Below are 22,857 nucleotides of genomic sequence, written 5' to 3' on the forward strand. Positions count from 1 at the left end.
GCCCAGGGATCTTTTGTTTTTTGCCAGCATCCATGAAACCGAAGTAGGCTAACTTGTTAGCTTGCAAGTAAGATAAAATCTCAGACCCTTCACGTTTCTTGACACTAGCATCATGGCACCAGGGCAAAGCGAGAGGCACCTTGGGCACACAATGTAAGGAGGAATTCACTCAAGATCCTGCAAGGGCCTTCTCTATCGGCTCCTCTCTTCCCTCGCTCTAGTCCTGGCCTTGCTTGACTCCTTGGGTACTAAGTATTATATTACTCTTTTTATAGATGAATATTGTAGACAAAGTTTTAGCCCAAGATCTGTCTCCCTCCAAATCACATTTTACCATGTGTGTACATGTTCATGCATAGCATATTTACGGGTATGGAGGACCTGAAGTGGTGATGACACCAGAGATTATTAAAGAAAAACAGAATTGTGTGATAGGAAAAATACACCAAGCTTTTGGACAGTTTAGTAGAAATTAGACAGCATCATCTCTGATACCATTTTGACTTTGGAGTTCCGGATGCACAGCTCACCTTGCATCACAAACAAATCATAGTGTACTGGGCTGTGCTGAACTGCAACATTAATGTATTACCTGGCCTTCACACAGAAGACAGCAGAACTCCCTTTGGAGTTTTCTACACTGAAGAGATATCCAAGAGATATAGAAAATTTGTTGCTATGAAAGAATAACTCAGTCTGAACTAAAATGCTTTGCAGACCATGAAGGAAAGTGGCAGGGCTGTAAACACTAATGGACCTTGTAAACAGTGGTTTCAGACATTATACCCAACCACTGTGGCAGATGAGTCACATTTTTTTTTTTTTGTATTTAGTGTCAGATGCAAGCACAAGAAAAAAAAACATTACTGGAAGCTTCATTGAAAGCTAATGATAAATTTTATGGAATATAAAAGGAAAGAGGATGTCAGGGAAAGTTAAAATGATATTTTCATTCAGATCACTTGAAGTTAAAAAATTCTTGCTTAAATGAGGTGCTTAACTCCTTATTAGAAAGGTTAACTTGGGAGCATTTAGATGAAAAACCAGAATTCCATTAATAGATGTTAACGATGGAATCTGAAGTTGTTCCATTTGATAATATAGACGATGGGAGTAATGAGGGCAGACGAGGTCAAATTTATACATTAAAGTGAACGCTATGTCTTGGAAAATTAAAAGACATAAGACTTTAAGTCAAGTGTAGAGCTCTTAAAATCCCAGCATTTGAATGGTGAAAATTATCCTACACTTAATTTTGATTGGATGACATATCAGGCATAAAGAAGGCGAGTTCCACATGCAATGAATACAATCATTCACATATACATATAAATATATGTGTGTGTGTCTTTGTATACAGAGACACATACATGTAGCACTACCTAATATTCTATAAAGAAAGCTGCTTCCTTTGTCTGTTCTGGGACCCAGTGCCTTTACTGAGATCTCCAGGGAAAATCCTTTCAGACCTATTGCATCTGTAGCAATCCAAAGGTATCTATAAAATTACATAGAGGGGTCCCTCAACTTAGAGTTTTCTGAACCTATAAAAGACTTCATGGAGAAGGACTGAACTAATATGATAAAAGACTTATATTCTGTTTTACTAATCAGTTAATGTATGTACTGGCACTGAATTAGTTAATTCAGTTATACAACCTGCAGTTACTTAACATCTCTTAGCTTCAGTTTTCTCCTGAGGAGCGTAATGGAAAAACACATACCTTAATGTTAATGTGAATTTAATGAAATAATGCAAGCAAAGTGTTTGGCATGCACATAGTTTTTTAAAGCGTTAGCTATTATTTTTTATCATGCACATTATAGAAAATATACTTTCTCCTCACAGAGGATTGGTCAAAACCCTTAGCCATGTACGATGCTAAGGATCTGAGCTATAGTTCTTCTCTTTGGATCTCTGGGGTTTGCTTACCATCTTCCAAGTTCCCCACAATGTTATTATTCTGCCCTTCAGGGTGAGGGGGGTGTCAAATGCCTCCCAGCATCAGGGCTGAGAAGTCTTAGATGTTATCTACAATATCTCAAAAGTTCACATTTCAATATCCGAGTCTTTGTATACCATGGTAAATGATCTTCAAACTCTCCTCCAAAGTGCTCTTCTGAATGCCTGCCAAGGATTACTCATGTCCCAGAAAGTGGCTTCTCTCTCAATGTGTGCATACCGTAGCTTCTTGTTCCTCTGGGAGAGCTCTGAGCCTGACACCCCTCAGCGCTGCCAGATCTGTGTCGTTTGCTCTGTGTTGTGGCAGGGATGGAGGGAACCTGATTCCATAACACTTATGGTCGGAGGAGTCACCTCTGAGTTTGGTCATCACCAAAAAGAATCCCCCATTGTTTGGCAAGTAAGCTATGTTGCCACCTGTTTAGCCCCATTGAACATCAACCCGCCTGGTTACAGCAGCCACAAGACCTCACTTTGTATGAACTGCATTCTTGACATGTTGTGCACTGCAGAACAGAAACACACTCTAGAAGGGTTATTATTACACATACAGTGGCACCTCCATCCCACTTCCCCCTTAAAAACAGCAAATATTTATATAACACTTTTGCTCTAAGTGTTATATAATGCAAGCTACTATATTATATTTATATAATACCAGCTACTGTTCTAAGCACTTTACATGTAATAATTCACTCAGTCCTCAACAGCAACACCTTGAGATGGAAACCAGTATTATCTGCATTTTACAGGTTAGGAATGTTAGGCACAGAGGGGTTAAATAGATTGCCCATAGACATGGCTAATAAGCTGCTGAGCACGCCTTCTAGTGCTCTGCTCTCTTTCAAATGGCATGATAAACCCATGTTTATGTAACCATTATAAATACTTCTTAATATTGAGCATTCTCTAACTCTGAAATTGTAATCATTGACATATATAAATTTATATGCACAAGAAAAGAAGAACTGAAAATTGTACAAGAAACATTTTGGACACATTAGTGATAATTAACTGGAAATAAAGTCACTTGTCCTCTAGGAACCTCCCTAAAGCAAAAATAAATATAAGATGCAAAAGATTACAAAACCAGACCTGCAGTCCATTTTATGCTTTCTCTTTGCAGAAGTAGAAAATGCAGGATAAATACCTATTTCATGAAACGCTCATAGGAGAATTATGAGTATCTTTAGAAATAGCTGCAGCGTAAGTCAGCTCTGAATGTCTTGATTAATACTGCCATCTAATGCCCAATGGAGAAATCCAAATTTATTTTAGACTGAATGTGTCCTGGTGCTGTCCTCCAACATTATTAACAGAAATGGCAGCACAAATTGTATTATCAACTAGGATCCTGTAACTGTATCAATCATTGTGAGATAAACTTTAGAAAGTAACAAGAGACTGTGGCTCTTTAGCATTACAGTCCAGCTTTAGGCACCTTAGTTTCAGGGTATGGTGGCATAGTCATTACAAAAACTGATTTCATTATAACCTCCCACAAGATATAAGACCAACATCACAAAATACTGTTAGTAAAACCCTACTGAAATAACCAATATTTATTTTGCTTTCTATTTAAATCTCTTTAGATTTTTTTTCCTCTCTTGCTTCTTCTTGAGAAGTGTATTGATAAAACATGTCTTTCCTTGGCCTGGAGAAATATACCAAATAAAAATGCAGAAGCTAAACAAAGTCTAAAGTGTGACAAAAAGACCAGGTACTGTATTCATAAAGAAAAGTATAATCTATGCTAGGCACGATTCACTCACGTCTGTTATCCCAGCTGCTTAGAAGGCTAAGGAGTGAGGATCACTTGAGCCCAGGAGTTTGAGGCTGCAGTTAGCTATGACAACACCAGTACACTCCAGCCTGGGCAACAGAGTGAGACTCCATCTTTAAAAAAAAAGAAAAAAAAGAGTATGGTCTATTTTCACTTTTACATACATATATCAATGTAAATGTGTACGCTGTTCTACTTTTACCTCTCTTGGATTATTTCTTGATAGTTGATTGATAATTATTTCCTGGTAACAAGAAGATTGGGTGACCCTCGGATCCTTTTAACTCGGATATAAAAGATGAAAAGAAAAACTATTCATGGTAATTTATATATTGTTAAGTTAAAGAACCTTGACTCTTCCTGAAAAGTTCCCATAGTTTTTACATGTTTATTTAATCTTTACTTAAATTTAAAACATTTTATAAATTATTACATTTTTATAATCTACATGTTAACTAATAATCTCCTCTTAGCGCGACTTCCAAAAATTACGTATTCAGCTGGGTGTGGTGGCTCACGCTTGTAATCCCAGCATTTTGGGAGGCCAAGGCAGGTGGATCACCTGGGGTCAGGAGTTCGAGACCAGCCTGGCCAACATGATGAAACCCCGACTCTACTAAAAATACAAAAACTATCCAGGCATGGTGGCAGGCACCTGTAATCCCAGCTACTCGGGAGGCTGAGGCATGAGAATCGCTTGAACCTAGGAGGTGGATGTTGCAATGAGCCAAGATGGCACCACTGCGCTCCAGCCTGGGGTATACAGCGAGACTCTGTCTCCAAAAAAAAAAAAAAAAAAGAAGAAGAAGAAAAAGCAAAACAAAACTGATATATTCATTCTTGTCAACATGATTGAGCAAGTTTTAGATAACTAGTGCTATAATAACCACATACATATTACACCTAGAAGAATCCAATTCATGGCTTAAAGCTCATTTGATCCTTCAACTTCCCCAACTTCCCCAAAGTAAGAACACTTTGGTTAGTATAACTAAACCACGAGTAGACCCCATTGGTTAATCAGTTTCACAAGGATAGTTCTCACATCATGAGTGGGCCTGAGACATGGCTCCATCCCATATGGCATATGGAAAGACAATCTGAGCAGTGCCCAGGACAAAATTTCAGGGCCAGAAAAGAGGATCCCTAAGTAAGAGATGAACTTGCCATGATTTATCCACCCAGCATCCTCCCTTCCCCATTGCCCTTAGATCTGCTTGCTTTGTCGCTCTTCTAAGGCTGACAAAATTAAAAAGTAGGATGACTGTTTATAAAGGGCAGAAAACCATCCAGGGATAGATCCGTCCCTACATATTGACCAATTCCATCTTATGACATTCATGCATGTATTTAGACAAAATAGGAAAAGATGGTATTTATGCAATTTCAAGCCAGTTTTTAAGAAAGAGTTGAATTATTATTAAAAGTGATTCTGAAAACTGATAAAATACTGTCAAATTTGAAATTAATAGCTATTTTCAAAATAGCAAGTGATTTGAGTCCATTCAGCCTCTACTGTTCAAATCAGTTTGTTGCTGGCACAGCTGAAACCATTTGCTGGGGTATTTGGAATTGAATACAAGGAAAAGAAATAGCTTGACCTGACATTAATTAATATAATGTTGTTAGGAGCAATTTAGCTTGCTAGATGCAAAACCAAAATTCTTTAAGATTTAACCTTCTGGTATGAAGTACTTCTGAGCAATTTTCAGCAACTACATGTGGAATTCTTAAAATGCAGAACTAACATTATTAAAATAATGGCTATGAACCAGGGACAGAAAAGAGGCAGACATTCATCCTGACAGAGATAAATAATGGGCAAAGTAAATTATTAGCTGGATACTTGTTATACATGAACTAAACCATCTCACTTATATTTATACACAAAGCATAATGTTCTGGAATCCATTTAAATGAACACAATAGTAGTTACTAGGGAAAAATGATTTCGATTGTATCATTAAATTTAAAGCATTCACTTTAGGCACTGAACACAGCCCTCAAGTGGGCCTTTTATCACACGCTTAATGTGAAGAGTGCAAGAAAAAACTTGCCAGCTAATGTTTTTAGCATCTAAAGCTCTCTCCACTTCTTTGTAAGAATATCTAAAATACTCAGGAAAAAAGTCAGCATTGCATTTCTAATTCAGCTTCAAAAATAATGTGGAAATATTAAAAAAAAAAAGAATAAAACGGTGGGGGGGGGGTGGGGGGAACCACTTACTGATTGTCTGCCTGTTCAGGATAGTAAATGTCATCGCCCATAAGGGACTGTGAAGCCTCATCACTCTTTCGATTTCACAAAAGACAGAAACTAACTTGAAAAGTTAGCAGAGATAACTTGAAAAGTTCTGCTACCCTGAATGATTTACCACAAATTGAAATATACATTGGGGTTTTATGTTGAGTAATGATTGACCATGTTTTGAGAAAACTGCCTCTTATTTTGTTTTCCTGATTTTCTGTCAAAAAAAAAAAAAAACAGAAATATCCATCCAATAATTAAAGTTGACCATTTTGTATAATGATTTTTAATCTTTGTAATAGTAGTAGTGTTGTTGTTGTTACATATCCCTTTGAGAATCTGATGATCTCTCCGGAAAAATCCACGTACGTTCCCTTCAGTTCTGCATGTTTCAGAAGATGCACAGAAGTTTCATTCAATTTAAGAAGGTGATAATGTAGGTAGGAATAAGATAAGCAAGATAAAAAGGGAATGTGATAATGTATAACATGATGATGAAGAGCAATTCTGGAACCGGGTTTGGATGGTTCAGGGTCATTGTGCACAGCTCCACACAGAGGGAGGATAAAGAGAATGGTATCCTAGCTCTGATGTAGTTCAAATCCACCCCCACCATTCATAAACTCCATGAACTTAGTCAAGTTCTTAGTCTAGGTTTCTTCACCTGTAACCCTGTACCACCATTTTGAGTATTAGAAAAAGTAATGCCTGTAAAACATTTTTAAATAAGAGGCATGGCACATAGTAAACACATAGAAAGATAAGCTGTTATCATTGTGTCCAAGTTGGAGCTAGTATAATATCATAGAATGACATGCCAAGTTATTTTTCCAATCCTTCATCATAGACTCCTTGAATATGTTTTCTACCTTGTTGTACCATGCACATATTCTCTATTCCCATGCTTTGGAATGTCCTCTTCTTATCCCTATTCACACTGATAAGCTCCTACCCAGCATTTCATTCCCAACTCAATTATCACCTCCACTGGGATGGTTTCCTCAATTCCCTTGGACAGAGCTTGCTGTTCCTTTTCTATACTCATAGCATGTATTATCTCTATTATTTAACTCATCACCTTATATTGAAGTTTTAAATCCACCTTTTTACACTCTTAGATCGTAAAATTTTTATTTCTATTCTGAAGTCTTAGCACATGACTGGCAAAAAGCTAAATATTTAATAATAGATGGGTGGAAAGAAAGAAAGAAGAAAGAGAAGGATGGAGTAACAGAGAGAGAAAGGAAAGAAGGAAGGCTGGTTGTATTGCCAACCTCCATCAAAATGAAATAAAAGTGAACCCATTATCTTCCCCGACAACTGAAACTCCCTGGAGTTCTCTCTTTCTAGGTTTATATGAGGGTTTTTTTTGCTTGTTTTTTGTTTTTTTCAGTGGTTTCACTATCTCCCACTTTAAACCCACAGTCCTATCTGACTTTCTTGCTCAATCCCTTGAAAGGCAATCCATTAGAACACCATCTTATCTTTCTTTTTTTGATACAGAGTCTGCTCTGTTGCCCAGGCTGGAGTATAATAGTGCGATCTCAGCTCACTGCAACCTCCACCTCCCAGGTTCAAACAATTCTCCTGCCTTAGTCTCCTGAGTAGCTGCGATTGCAGGCATGCACTAACACACCTGGCTAATTTTTGTATTTTTAGTAGAGAAGAGATTTTGCCATGTTGGCCAGGCTAGTCTTGAACTCCTGACCTCAAGTGATCCTCCCACCTCGGCCTCCTAAGTGCTAGTATTACAGGCATGAGCCACTGCACCTGGCCAACCATTTTATCTTTCTTCATGGAATATCTTCATCTGTCCACCTCTTATTCCTCTTATACTAATAGTTTAGAACTTGTGCCTAAAGCATTTTTAATACCTTCCTTACTGCTCTCTCATGCCCAGTCTCTCCCTACTAAAAATTAATTTTCCCTGAGAAAAACTAATTATGTCATTTCTTGCTAGAACAGCTTTAAGAGTTCCCTGTTGCCTGACACTCAGTGTGCTCCAAAGTCTGGTCCCAACCAACCTTTTCAGAATTCTCTCACTCAATCCCTTCTTTATCCAATGAAGTAGGCACATTTCTCTTACTCCACACTTCTGATCTTTTCCTCTACACCATACTATTGCTCATGGTTACTCTCTTCTTCTCCAATGCCCTTCCTTTTTTCTTTTTAGCTCATATAAATCTTTTAATTGATAGTGTTCTATTTATCTAAGACCTCAGACCAATGATTTCCAGCCCATGGAGTACTAGAGATCATTTTAATGCTAAAAAAATTAAATGTTGAAGATTTCCAGGTCTGTCATGAACTGTGAAGGGTCTGAGATTTTAACTACTTGCAAGCTAATAAGTTAGCCTGTTACTGTTTCATTAATGCTGGCAGAGGCGGGAGACTCCTAGACCAAAGACAAAGGACTTTTGCATCCTGGTAACGAAATAAGGAGCAAGCACATCAGGATATTGAGGCTTATAGCCCTTGTACCCCGTACTACCAGAGCAATATTACAGGCCCAGATAGGTCTTTCACGTCCACTGAGTTTGCTCACATATGAGAAATCCAGGGCCTAGGGCTCAGCATTATGTTTTTACTAAATTTAATTATTAATTGATACATAATATTTTAGATATTTATGTGGTTTGTGTGATATTTTGTTACAAGATAGAATATGTAACGGACAAGTCATGGTATTTGAGGTATCTGTCACCTCAAGTATTTATTTCTATATGTTGGGAACAATTCAAGTCATCTCTTCTAACTACTTTCAAATATAAAATACATTGTTGTTAATGGAATCAACCATATCTTTTCTTTTTGTTTTTTTATTCTATATCTTTTTTTTGTTTTGTTTGTCCTGTCACCCAGGCTGGAGTGCAGTGGCGCGATCTCGGCTCACTGCAACCTCCGCCTCCCAGGTTCAAGCAATTCTCCTGCCTCAGCCTCCTGAGTAGATGGGATTACAGGCACGTGCCAGCACACCCAGCTAATTTTTGTATTTTTAGTAGAGACAGGTTTTCACCATGTTGGCCAGGCTGGTCTCAAACTCCTGACTTCATGATCCACCCGCCTCAGCCTCCTAAAGTGCTGAGATTACAGGCGTGAGCCACTGCGCCCAGCCGATTCTATATCTTTGCTACTATGTATAGTGCTGCAATAAACATGAGAGCTTAGATATTTCTTTGATATGCTGATTTATTTTCCTTTGGATAAAGACCCAGTGGTGGGATTGCTGGATCATATGGCACATCATCTCAGCATTATTTTTTAATTTTTTTTTTTGAGAAAGCCTTGCTCTATTGCCCAGGCTAGAGTACAGTGGCATGATCATGGGTCACTGCAGCCTCAATCTCTTGGGCTCAAGCAATCCTTAGCCTCCTGAGTAGCTGGGACTATAGGTGCAGGCCACCATGCCTGGCTAATTTGTGCTTGTTTTTTGTAGAGATAGCGTTTTACCATGTTGCCTAGGCTAGTCCTGAACTTCTGGGCTCAAGTGATTTGCCCACTTTGGCCTCCCAAAGTCCTGGGATTACAAGCCTGAGCCACTGTACCTAGCCTCCAGCATTATTTTTGAGCAAGTAGCAAACTTTGTAGCAAATAATAGTCAGTCCTCTTCTCTCCAAGTAGCACACATTTACAGGGAAGTCAGACTATGATCCCTTTACCTACCAGTTGCCTGTATTACTAGCTACAGAAATGGGTCACCAGTAGTGGGATACACCTTGCAGTGTGTGGGGACATTCAGGGCTCATGCTCAAAAATATTAAGAGTTTGCCACTCTTAACAATATTGAGTGGCAAATGTCATGACAAACAAGTAGACATTCATACACTTGTATTTTATTAGTCATAAAAGTATCTACACACCTTTTTGAAAAGTAATTATGTAGGTAATTTGTGAAGCATGAGTCAATCTACAGAAAATGCAACTCTCATTTCTATCATCCTTGGAGGTCTGTAATATACACAGGTTGGAAACCACTACTTTTCATTATAAAGCTCTTTGAGGTCTCAGACTGCATTTTGATGTATTTTTATTTCCCATGACTTAGCATAGGGTTTGGTTTATTCTAACTATTTAACAGATACTTGTTAAAGAAAAAAAAATGAAGATAAATAGAATTTGCCAATAAATTTGTGTTGAAATCTATGGAGATACATTTCATAAACAGTATCAATGAAGGCAGCTGGCTTTGAAAACAATACGAGACAAAGAGTAGGTGTACATCAATCCAGGATGTGGGGAAGCAGGTTTCAGCATGAGTTTGATTCCATTTTTCTTTGGTGTGTTGTAGAATTTGTTAAAGTTCTGAGGAGTAACATTCAATAGCCAAAAATAGATGCTTCTGGCAGGTAATGATATAGTAAAGTCACCATGACAGAGTTCAAATAGTAGCAGGATATTGATCAGGAGACCTAGATTCTAGTTTGAGTTCTTCCTTTAACAAGTTGTATGATATTTGACGTATATCTCCTGTCTTCATCTCAGTCTCCTTACCTGCAGTGGACAGGGACAAGGCTGAATTCTGTAGGGGATGTTGTTGGGGCCTCACCATGGTAGACAGCAAACAATGGCCACACATTTTTTTTTTTAGTTCTTCCCATCAACAGGTGGAGTCTATTTCTCCATTCCTTGGCACTGAACTGGCCTCATGACTTCCTTTGACCAACAGAATGTGGCAGAAGTAACCTTGTGTATGCCCCAAGCCTGGATCTCAAGAAGCCTTGCAGCTTGCACTCTTGCACTGAGAACTCTCCCACCACACAAGCAAGCCTGAGCTACCTTTATGAATCAGGGGTCAGCAAACTTTTTATATAAAGAGTCAGATGGTAAATATGTTAGCTTTGGTGTCTGTACAGTCTCTGCCTAACTCTTTCATTTTACTGATAAAGCAGATACAGGCAATATATAAAATAATGTACTCCAATAAAGCTTTATTTACAAAAACAAGAAAAAAAACTGGATTTGGCCCATGGGTCACAGTTTCAGATCCCTATGATAGAAGATAAGAAACTATGTGAAGAGAGGTCTCAGCCGTGCCAACTGCCCCAGCCATCCCAGCTAAGGCCCCAGACATGGGGGCAAGCCCAGCTTAGATCAGCTGAAACCTCCTGAGACCTACAGGATGGTCCAGTTGCCCCACTACATGAACAACGTGAAGAAATCTGAAATGAACTCAGTCACTGCAGTTTTAAGCCTCTAGGTGGTTTGCTACACTGCCAAAGTTCAACCATACACACATTCCAATCTTCTTTTCCAGTCTAAAATACCTGTTCTCCAGCTGCTGTAAGGTTACTGAGGGCCCAGAGCTGCTCCTACTTCAGAGAACTGCCTTACCTTAGAGATTACACTCTGCCCCCAAGGCAGTCAACAATAAATGGCTGTCAGGGAGGTACAACAGGTCAAACCCCTACTGCAAAATGGGTGCAATTCAGGTGTTGTGGGCTCTCTCTGGGGAGCTGGAGTGAGTTTCCGAGTTTGCCTCTGAAATCTTGCTTTGATTGGGAGCTTCTTCCCTGCCCTGCTTTGCTTCCCTTTCTTCCTTTCTCCTGCATGTACTCTTCCAACAGACCATTTGCACAAAAATCACTATGCCAAGTTCTGCTTTTAGGAAACGTTAAGATAGCTCCTAAAATTTCTTTGGTATCCATCATAATTATAATCAGGCCACAACTTGGGATAAAAGACTGAGATGCAAATGTGAAGGGCAATGTAATAAACCAAAAAGATAAAATTAAACCCACCTTAAGACATGGCGGAAGAAGAGTGTGATCTTCTATGCCCCAAATGCCTCGTCTGCACCTAGAAATGCTAGTAGGGGAAGGAAAATTGAAAGTAGAATTTCATGGAATAAAATTAAAATCCTGGTAATCTGTCTTCACTTAATATCATTTTCTTAAAATTACCGAAATTATCAAATTTTTGAAATACATGTTTATTATATTGTCGCAAAAAAGTCCCTGTTATAGTTGGTGCATTTGTCCCCTCCAAATCTCATGTTGAAATTTGATGCACGGTGTTGGAGGTGAGGCCTGGCGGGAGGTGTGTGGATGGATCCCTCATGTGTGACTTGGTGCCATTCTTAAAGGATTAAGTGAGTTCTCACTAGAAGTTCCAACAAGAGCTGGCTCTTAAAAAGAGTCTAACACCATTCTCTCTTTTCTCTTGCTTCTGTCTCACCATGTAATGCCTACTTCCGCTCCTCCATGAATGGAAGCTTCCTGAGGCCCTCCCCCAAAGCAGATGTGGGTACCATGCTTCTTGTACAGCCTGCAGAACCATGAGCTAAGTAAATCTCTTTTCTTTATTAAACACCCAGCCTCGGGTATTCCTTTATAGCAACACAAAATGGACTAAGACAAACCCTATTCTATTGGACACTGTGCCTACATCACGCTAATAGATAATGTTAGTCCCTAATCTTGTCTTCCTTTCGTCCTTCATTTCCTCACTGAGAAAAAACACAAGTTGTTCCAACACGTCGTGTGAAAATTGAGACTACTAATGAATTCATGCACATAAATTACATTGAAATCACCAAATAACCAGTAATTTGTAAATACAATATACCTATCATCATTATTATTCAAACAGCAGTCTGAGTATTCTGAATCAAAAAAAATAAAGGAAAGAAATATTGCCATCAGCGGGTTCCCTGTAAACTGGGAATTGGGTAGCTGGCAAAAGGAGAGATCTGAAGGAAATCTGAAGGAAAAGTAATGACAGCAGCAGGGTTCTCTTTCAAGGGAAGAGAAATAAAGAATTGTCAGAGAAGAAACATTAATAACTACACAGTGAAGTATGTGAAAAGAATCTCTAAAAGGTGTGAGATAGAAACAGGAAGACACCCTATATCTAGAGGCTAGAAAGGGGAAATTTAAGAAAAATGCATTTGTTGGAATAACATGAAGATGCTTCCTCCATGTGAGTATGTCTTCTAGGGATGAAAACACTCAGGAAAAGAGTGTAGTGAAAAATAAAATCAGGAATACCTTGACAGATACACACCGGAATTTATACATTCTTAAATATGTGTTAGTTTTAAAAAATAAAGATTTAAACGAATGTTTTCATTTTTGATTTCCATCATTTCAATTAGTTTACATTTTTTTGTAAGTGAGAATTACTATCCAAACTAAGATGGTTCTGTCGTACTTGCTTTCTTAATAGAAAAAAAAAAAGAAGAGGAAAGAAAGGAGGAAGAGAACATTTCAATATACAGACTTCTTTGAAATGCTGAGGACTTCATCCAAACTTTCTATATCTTAGTTTCCTCACTTGTATGTAAATGAAAAGATTAGGATATGTTTTTAAAATTCAATAATTCTTAGGGAAAAACATGAGGTTTTATTGCATGAATACTAACTGGAGGAAACATTCTCAATGGCATTTTTAAGTCAAATTGCTGTTTGTAACCTTATAAGACAACTTAGAAGAGCAATACTTTCTGCATTGCTTCAAATCTAAAAGTATTCAAAAAAAGCTAATTTGGTACAGCTGGGAAGAGCCCTAAGGATGTACGTTAATCTAATGACTGTTTAGTATAGGAAATTATAGCTTAAATAATTTATATGAATTTGGATATTCATTAAGGTTTAACAGCATTTGAGAAAGAGTAATTTTAAGATCAGGAACTAAAAATAGTGGCATTTGCTTTCACAGAAACCACAAGTAAATGGCAAAGCATATAATTAATGTACACATTACTTCATTTTAGGGTTTATGCAAACCAAGAGTTACAGAAACTATAACATTTTGAGTTCAATACATGTGGTTATTTTCAGGGAATTAAAAAATTTATAAGATTGAAAAAGGAATCAACTAGATAACTTTAAAATAAAAATTAGCAGGAAGGCTTAGGGTAGCATTTTTGTGGATAAACTTGATTTCGTCATAATCAAGAGAAGGGTGTAAAAGAGAGAGTGGGGAGAAAGATGGCAAAGGATAATTAGGAAGCAACATCCCAAAGCAGGTGAAAGCCATGAGAATTCCTCTCTCACATGGAAAGGGATTCCCCTGAAAATGCACAGAAGCAGTTTTTCCTCAGGAGGGGAAGAGGTGAAAGCAAATGTAATTTTCTACAAGTTGCCAAGACATTTGCTGCTTTTTCATGGGCTTCAATTCGTTCTTGTCTCCTTCTAAACCACTCCTTCTGGGCCACTGGTACGAGGAAGTGCTTCCTGAACTCACATGGTTCAAATGTCTCTCCCTGTGCCCCAAGTCTCATTTCAATTTTGATGACCACCCTCCGGGTACTGGTACTCCATGGATCTGACTGGGTTCCATGATTGACTTCTGATTTGAATTCTCTAAATTACCATGAATATTACCATCTGAAATGTTCCCTATTTTTTACTCTTCTGACAAAATCCACCCCTACTTCCATGGCTGTAACTATTTAGTCATTACAAAATATTTGAATTGGCTAATCAATATATTTGATATATGCCACAATCTAGATTGTTGTCATATAAAACACACGTTTCATACCTTTGGTCTTCAATGTGAAGAATTTCACATTGTTTATTATTTAGGCACTAATACATTATAGAATATATAATTTTAAAAATTATGTGTAATTCTATATGATTAAAATATACAAATATAATTTATGTATATTAATAATAGTGTTACAGGCTTTTAATAAATCAGCATGTTAATATCACAACTAAGATTTTGTTAATAACTGAAAAATATTTTATTCTAGTAAAGTATACATAATACAAAATACCATCTGAACTATTTTAAAGTGTGAAGTTTTGTGGCATTAGCGTATTCACATTGTTCTGCAACATAGCAACCATTCATCTCTAGAACGTTTTCATCTTCCCAAACAGAAACTCTGTAACCACTAAACTCTAACTTTTCATTCTCACTCCTCCCAGCTACTGACAACTACCATTCTCTTTTCTATCTCTACGAATTTGACTACTCTAGTTACCTCATATAAGTTGGCTCATACAATATTCGTCCATTTATGACTCTTTTATGGCAGCTAGCATAATGTCTTCAAAGTTCATTCATGTTTTAGTACCTGTCAGAATTCCCATGTGTTAGAATTCCCTTCCCTTTTAAGGCTGAATAGCATTCCGTTGTATGTGTGTGTGTGTGTGTGTGTGTGTGTGTGTGTGTGTGTGTGTGTGTGTGTGCATATAAAAATTACATATACACACACCACATTTTGTTTATCCTTTTAACCACTGATAAACACATAAGTGGTTTCTTGGCTATTATGAACAATGCTGCTATGAATGTGGATGTACAAATATTTGTTAAAGTTTCTGCCTTCAATTCGGAATGGTCATAGTTTTTCTTCATTGTTTATATTTAAAGTCTACGACATTATGTTATGGGATATAGAGACACTGAAAAGGTTACTGTAGTGAAACAAATTAACATATCTATAACCTCGCACAGTTACATATTGTGTGTATGTGTGTGTTGGTGGCAATAGCAGCTAAAATCTACTAATTTAGCATGAAACTCGCATACAGTACAAATTTACTGCCCATGATCTTCGTGTTACAAAATTAGATCTCTAGACTGCAGAGAACTCAATCGTGAAAAAACAAATAACCAAGTTAAAAAATGGGAAAAAGACCTGACTAGATATTTCTACAAAGAATACATAAAAATGGCCAACAGGTATGAGAAAAGGTGCTTCACATTAATAAAAGGGAAACACAAATGAAAACCACTATGAGATACCACCTCACTTCCCGTTAGGATGGCTGATAACAAAAAGACAAAAGATATCAAATGTCAGCAAGGATGTGAAGAAAAGGGAACTCCTGTCCACTGTTGATGAGAATTTAGGTTGCTACAGCCATTATGGAAAACAATATGGAGATTTCTAAAGAAATTAGAAATGGAACTACTATATGACCCAGCAATCCATCTTCTGGGTGTATACCCAAAGGCAATAAAGTCACTAGCACATGAACATATCTGCATACTCATGTTCAATGCAGCAGTAGCCACAATAGCCAAGATATGCAAATGACCTCTGTATCTGTCAACAAATGAATGGATAAAGAAACTGTGGTACAGACATACAATGGAATATTGTTCAGCCCTAAAAAAGAACAAGATCTTGCCATTTGCCACATGTATGAGGCTGAAGGACATTATGCAGACAGATGACAAATATTTCATGATCTCACTTATACGTAGAATCTAAAACAAAAATTCAAATATAAGAGAAAGAACAAAACAGTGGTTACCAGGGTGGGAGGGAGAGGGGGAGGAAATGAGGAGATGTAGGTTAGAAGATAGAAAACTAAGTATTTTAAAAATTACTTTAGTGTCTGGTTAAGTATCCTGCTCCTAGCTACTCAATAAATTTCTACTAAATGCAAAATAGCATTCCCAATTTCCCATGATTATTTTGTTGTCAAGTATTAACATTTGTCATCTTAGTAAAAGGATAGGAATTACTTTTCTAATTAATAAAATGAATCCCTATTTTCATTTGGGAGTCTTCACTGAAATTTGTTACAAAATAGTTGGAAGGAAATGTACAATGAAAGGTTATTTTAAGAAAGGTTATATGAATGATTGCTTCTTAATTAACAATCCTTTTTACCAATTTAGTTGTAATTGACGCCCTTATGAAAGTGAAGTTTCTGTAGCATCTAGATTCTTCCTTAAGGCATCTAGTAATCATTTAAAGATGGACTAATATACAATGAAGTTTGGGTTGCACTATTATTGGTAAGTTTGTGCTGTTAGTGTAGACTTTAAAATAAAATGAATATAGTTTAATTAGATGCTATTATCTTTCTAATTTTACTAGCAATTTTAAAAAGAAAATGAAACCCTTGGCCTGAAAAAGCAAAGGTCATTTAACTTTCCTTGCCTTGTTTGTAATCTTTTAAAAGTATTCTAATGAAAAATAACATTAATATCTAAATTCATAAAGATTCCCTCCACTTTAGTCTCTTTACCTTATTAAATATACTCTCATTACTGATTCTAATTATGAAAATAAACCACACATGACCTCCAAATCACATTTTTTTTCTTTTTTTCTGAGACAGAGCCTCGCTCTGTCACTCAGGCTGGAGTGCATTGTTAAAATCTCAGCTCACTGCAACCTCTGCCTCCCGGGTTCAAGCATTTCTGGTACCTCAGCCACCTGAATAGCTGGGTTCCAGGTGCGAGCCACCACGCCTGGCTAATTTTTTTGCATTTTTAGTAGAGACAGGGTTTCTCTGTGTTGGCCAAGCTGGTCTCGAACTCCTGACCTCAAGTGATCTGCCTGCCTCGGCCTCCCAAAGTGCTGCGATTACAGGCATGAGCCACCACCCCTGGCCTAAATAAATTCTTAAAAATAATATGTAATTATAACTTCAAATGTTATAAATGTAGAAGAAACCTATTAGAATCCCTGATTTTTCAGTGGCAAAAGTAACATCTCTCTCCTATTTTTACAGAGGAAAAAAAAAGCTGATACCTATACATATACAGGTATAGTGTAATATAATATGTACACAGAATACAGTAAACGTAATAATATATACGTATATCACACATGTCTATTAAACAGCAATCATTCACCCTATCACCACATGTTGAATGCCTATAATATACCAGGCACTCTTCTGGAGAAAATAACTTGACATCTAAGGTTAAAGGAAAGATCTGACGTAACAAAGTCTATTTTACATGAACATGATTGCTTTTAAACACCTTCTGATAAAGAAAAATAATCCTAACATTTTGTATATGAAGGGTATTGTAGACCCACTATGGGTTTTGACTCCAGAATGACCTGGTTTCAAGTAACTGTTGCATCATTTACTAGATATGTGATTTATGTAAGTTACTTTAAGTTCTTTCAAAAAAGAACTTATGTAAGTTCTTTCATCTATGAAATGGAGACAATAATGTAGATTTTTAGGGGGTGGTTGTTGCATGATAATTATACACACACACACATATAGCATAACACCATACCTAACACATCCTTCAAAAGGCAATTCTTATTGAATCTCATTGCTGTGATTCAGGAAATAATCATGTACAATGACACTGTATTAGTTTTCTATTGCTTCACTAACAAATTATCACAAATATAGCCACTTAAACAGAAGTTTATTATTATTTTATGGTTTTACAGATCATTAGTACAACACAAGTTTCACCAGGCTAAAATCAAAGGAACCACACTTCTTTCTGCAGACTCTAGGGAGGAAAAAAACCTGTTTTCTTACCTTTTCCATATTCTAGGGGCCACCCGCATTTCTTGGTTTGTGGCCTCTTTAATCTATTTTCAAAGCCAGCGACAATGGGTTGAGTCCTCTCATCACATCTCTCTGGCCACCAGAAAACCAGAAAAGGTTTTTTGCTTTTAAAGACTCATGTGATTGCATTGGGCCCACAAAGATAACTTAAGATAATCTCCCCCATCTCAAGGTCTGGAAACAATCACATCTGCTAAGTCCCTTTTGCCCTGCATGGTAACACATTCACAGGTTTCAAAGATTAGAGCACGCACATATTTAGACAGCACTATTCTACCTACTAAAGGCACCATGGGACCAACTGGAAGGGTCCTGTATTGTGGCAACAAGTGGCAGGATCTCAGATGTAACTATTGCTGCTGCTGGCATTGGACTTCCCTAGAAACATGTAACTTAATGCTGAAGAAACTTTCCATTCTTCCTCTACCCATGTGAAATCGTGTTAGTGTAAATGCTGTTAAGTTAGAAGCAATCATCACGCTCTACGACTGTCTTAAGAGAGCAGTGCAAAGTCAGAATTAAAAATAAGCCCATTTATGCTGAGATCCTTGGGCTCTCTGACACTACTTTCATGTCCCTAATCAATATATCCCATGGCTGCAACTACCTGGGGCTTTACTGTTTAACCATTTTACACTCTCTGTGAATGTTCTTCTCCACAGTGTATGTTCTTCTCAATAGTCTTAGCAAGACAGCATGACTGGTTTGGCAGCTTCGTCTGGATTAAGCAAATGAATTATTCTAAATGGATCTACCTAAGTAGTTTGATCCTGCCACTACCTCACATGTTCTGTCTAACGAACAAAGATGTAATAAACAATTTAAGTAAATCATTTGGCCACTATATTAATTCCTTTCATCTTGTAAAGAAAATAACATATTTGCCATTTTAAAAAGAAATGAAATAGAGTAGAAATTTTGTTTTACCTAGTCTTAAAATCAAGGAATTTAATGCAACTTCATTAAAGCCGATGAATATTTTTGGTATATCTACAAAGTTAGGCACCAGGGCCTCAGTAGACGGACCACATTTGTTCATTGCACTCAAAGACGCTAAACTATAATGGAGGTAAAAACCCACAGATTCTACTATCCTAACCCCTCATTTAAGCAATAAGGAACTGAATTCCAAAAGATTTAAATGCAACTGATTCCACCTTTGATGCATAATCCACCTTCATATCCCCCAAAGTAGAATTCATTAGCAAGATTGGGCTTCTGAGATTAGGAAGGTCAAGGCATTCAGCAGAACACTGACTCTAATTATCTTAGTAATCCAAGAGAGAAAAGTGATGCAAAAGATACCAAGCACATTAATAATATTAGAGGAGCAATAATACAAATAGCTAGAGCTGCCTTGTCAGACACATCAGGGCTTTCATTCCAGTCCAGTATGTTAGCTTGTGATCTTCACCAAACTGCTTGACTTTTCTAAGCCTCAGATACCTCATCTGCAAAGCATGGAGACATCGTAGCATGGAATATAAAAATGCAGACTTCTGGCTTCAGAATCACGTGGGTTTGAATGTGATTCTGCCATCTTCAAGTTGGGTAATGTTGAGCTCATTCACCTCCTTTAATATTACTCTCAGTAATATTGGAATAATACCTGCCTCAAAGGTATTATTAACTCCTTGTTACAAGGAGTAAACGGGGTACATAGAACACTTAGGGCAGTGTCTGAGTAACAGCAAGAAGTCAGTAAATAGTAATAAGTGTTACTGCAAGTTAACTTGATGATGCTTTGTGAAGATTAATAAATGCAAACCAATTCCCTCATACATGACAATTGTTATGGTCTGATGTTTATGTCTTCTCAAAACTCATATGTTGAAATCCTCACTGCCAAGGTGATGGTATTAAGAAGTGGAGACTTTGGGAGGTGATTAAGTCATGATTTGGTTTAATGACCTTGTTATACCAGCCTGAATGAACTATTAAAGCAATGTTGTGACTGTCTACATTCTAATAGTAATTGTATATTTTCAAAGTCTCTTTAACCACGGACCCTATCCTCATGCCCCAGCAACTGAACGGTTAATTTTTCCTCATTTCACAAAGTAGAAATTTGACTTTGGTAAGGTCCAAATGGTTCAGGATCAAATATTAAAGTAGGAATGAAGAAAGAATTCAAACTCAGTGACCCCTGGCTCTCTATTCACTGCTTTAACTGTTAAATTATATCACCTTGGCAGTTTAACAGTACACTAGAAACATTTTCAAGGAAGATTATCTATATACACAACTCTTGGCACCATAAATATTTGTCTGAATTTATCCTGCTCCACGCCAATCAACACCTTATGAAACTTGTGATTTAAAAGGCTTCGATTTTTATTCATGCAGTGTTAATATAATGGAAAACAATTCAGTATCTCCAGCAGGAATGATTTTACAGGCATTAAGCAGGTGGCAGACTACATAAACTTTAACTTTCTTGACATTTTTAAACAACTAATATAGTTTTAAAGCATGTACCTTTTTGTGTCATTTAAATAGGAAAATTATTAATGATAAAGTTTGTAAGAGACATAAATTTGAAGCATTTTGTTTACATTGAGTTAAGGATATATAAACTTTGATAAATGTTAATGGAAGTTACCAACACGCATTCCTTTCATAGCAATGGAAGACCTCTCTGTATAATTCCCAATAACCCTTTTAACTTGTGAAAAATGAATAAGGAACTGGAGTGCATAGAACACCAAAGTATAATAAGAGCAGAAATAAGTGAGCTTACTCCAGTTTATTCCCGAGTTAAATACTAAGAAATAATTCCAAACAAGTGCATTTCATGAAGCTTATCTTTCATGGCACTTTTCTTCTGACCTAGCTCAAAGAGAATGCCCTAATTTTTTACTATTCATTCCCCCATAACAATTCCCTGGCTTCCTTCCTTACCTGCTGTGCTTTTGTAATGCTGTATTGAATTAGAACTATAATTAGTCAGCATCTACTCATTTAGTCCATGAGTGTGTATTTAGCACCAGGTACTATTTGTGACAATAGACAAGACAGCTGTCCCTGTTCTCCAAAAGCTTATAGTCCAGTGGGGAGAACACAAATTAAGCAGAAGGTTTCAAAACAGTGTGATAGTATCTAAGGCATGTAGTGTGAAAAGGGCTAAGGCTTAGGTAAATAGAGTGTTCCGGAAATGCATGGAGATAATGTAGCTAAATAACTTCAAGGACTCAGATGCTAGACTAAGAGGGCCTATTGAGCAAGGCACTGTGTTGGGACATTGTAAAATATAAATTCAACCCCTGCTGCCCAGAAAATTCACTGTAATTGGGAAGATAGAGGCCAAAGCTTTCTCCCCTTTTTTCCACAACCAAACTGCCTCCTAGACATCTTCACTTCGATGTCCCACCAGAGCTAAAACTTATTAGGCTCAATGCTTATTTGTTTTCTCCTCCAGTCCCCAGACCAGATCCTCACCTCCAACATTCTCTGTCTAAGCAACTGGCCCCAACCCATCTAGTTACTAAATTAGAATGAGAAGGAGCATTCCGTGGGTCACTTCCTAGTTCACCTCTCACTTTGAAAGCATAGGACAATGTTTGGGAGGGTGAGTAATAACAAGATGGGAATAGTTCACAAAGGTTTCATGTGACAAGCTGAAAACTGTAGGCATTATCCTATAGACAATTGTGCCATTCAGTCACTGCTAGCATTGCCTTGTCATATAGCTAAATGAAAGAATATATTTATAAGGCACTCTGTGAATTTTCATTAGTGATAAATAGGCTCTGATTAATTTTAATGTCTGGCTAGGAAACAGGGAGAAAATTTGTTAACTCATAAAATGCATTCTAAAGTCAAACATTAATGGGAAGGGATCATTATTTAAATTTAAAAATTCCATGTGTGCATGTGAATATATACATATAAATAGCATATTCTAAAGCCAAATATTAATGGCTATAAAACTTTTTACAAGGAGCATACCAGATAATTCATATCAAATAGTTTCTCTTGAAACTAATTATCTCTGTTGGCCACATAGACACAAGTTGAACATCCCTAGTCTGAAAATCTGAAATCCAAAATCTTCCAAAATCCAAAGCTGTTTTCGGTAAAACACAATATCACAAGTGGAAAATTTCATACCTGACGTCATGTGATGGGTTGCAGTCAAAATTTTGTTTCATGCACAAAATTATTACAAATCTTGTGTAAAATTATCTTCAGGCTATGTGTATAAATGTGTATGAAACACAAATAAATTTTGTGTTTCGACTTGGGTCCCATCCCCAAGATTTCTCATTATGTATATGTGCATATTCTAAAATACCCCTCAAAAACCTGAAATCTGAAACACTTCTGGTCCCAAGCATTTGGGATAAGGGATACTCAACCTGTAAATGTTTATAAGCAATGTTTTTGCATTGAATAGACCTCCACTGACATCGTGCCTGTGATATTTTTCTACTGTATGACCTTGGGCAAGTCACTTAACCTCTCTGAGTCTCAATATCCTCACTTATAAAATGCATATAAACCCAACCTTTCAGGTTTTTATGTGAGCATTAAATAATATAATTGAAGCATAAATATATGGTAATAATTCAACAAATTATAACTACAACTATACTCACTTCGAAGAGAAGCCATGGAGAAAGATG

At 37.0% G+C, this 22,857-nt stretch overlaps 1 long non-coding RNA gene across 1 annotated transcript in view; it reads right to left on the minus strand.

Annotated features, from left to right (window-relative positions):
* The window catches only part of LINC00379 (long intergenic non-protein coding RNA 379), an 84,086-nt gene that overhangs the window by 54,670 nt on the left and 6,559 nt on the right, over positions 1–22,857 (minus strand). The window contains exon 2 of the long non-coding RNA NR_047004.1: positions 11,732–11,798. This is a non-coding gene — a long non-coding RNA (long intergenic non-protein coding RNA 379). The remainder of the gene's footprint in view (positions 1–11,731; positions 11,799–22,857) is intronic.

This window comes from Homo sapiens, chromosome 13 (assembly GCF_000001405.40).
Source record: "Homo sapiens chromosome 13, GRCh38.p14 Primary Assembly".
In the NCBI taxonomy this organism is placed as follows: domain Eukaryota; kingdom Metazoa; phylum Chordata; class Mammalia; order Primates; family Hominidae; genus Homo; species Homo sapiens.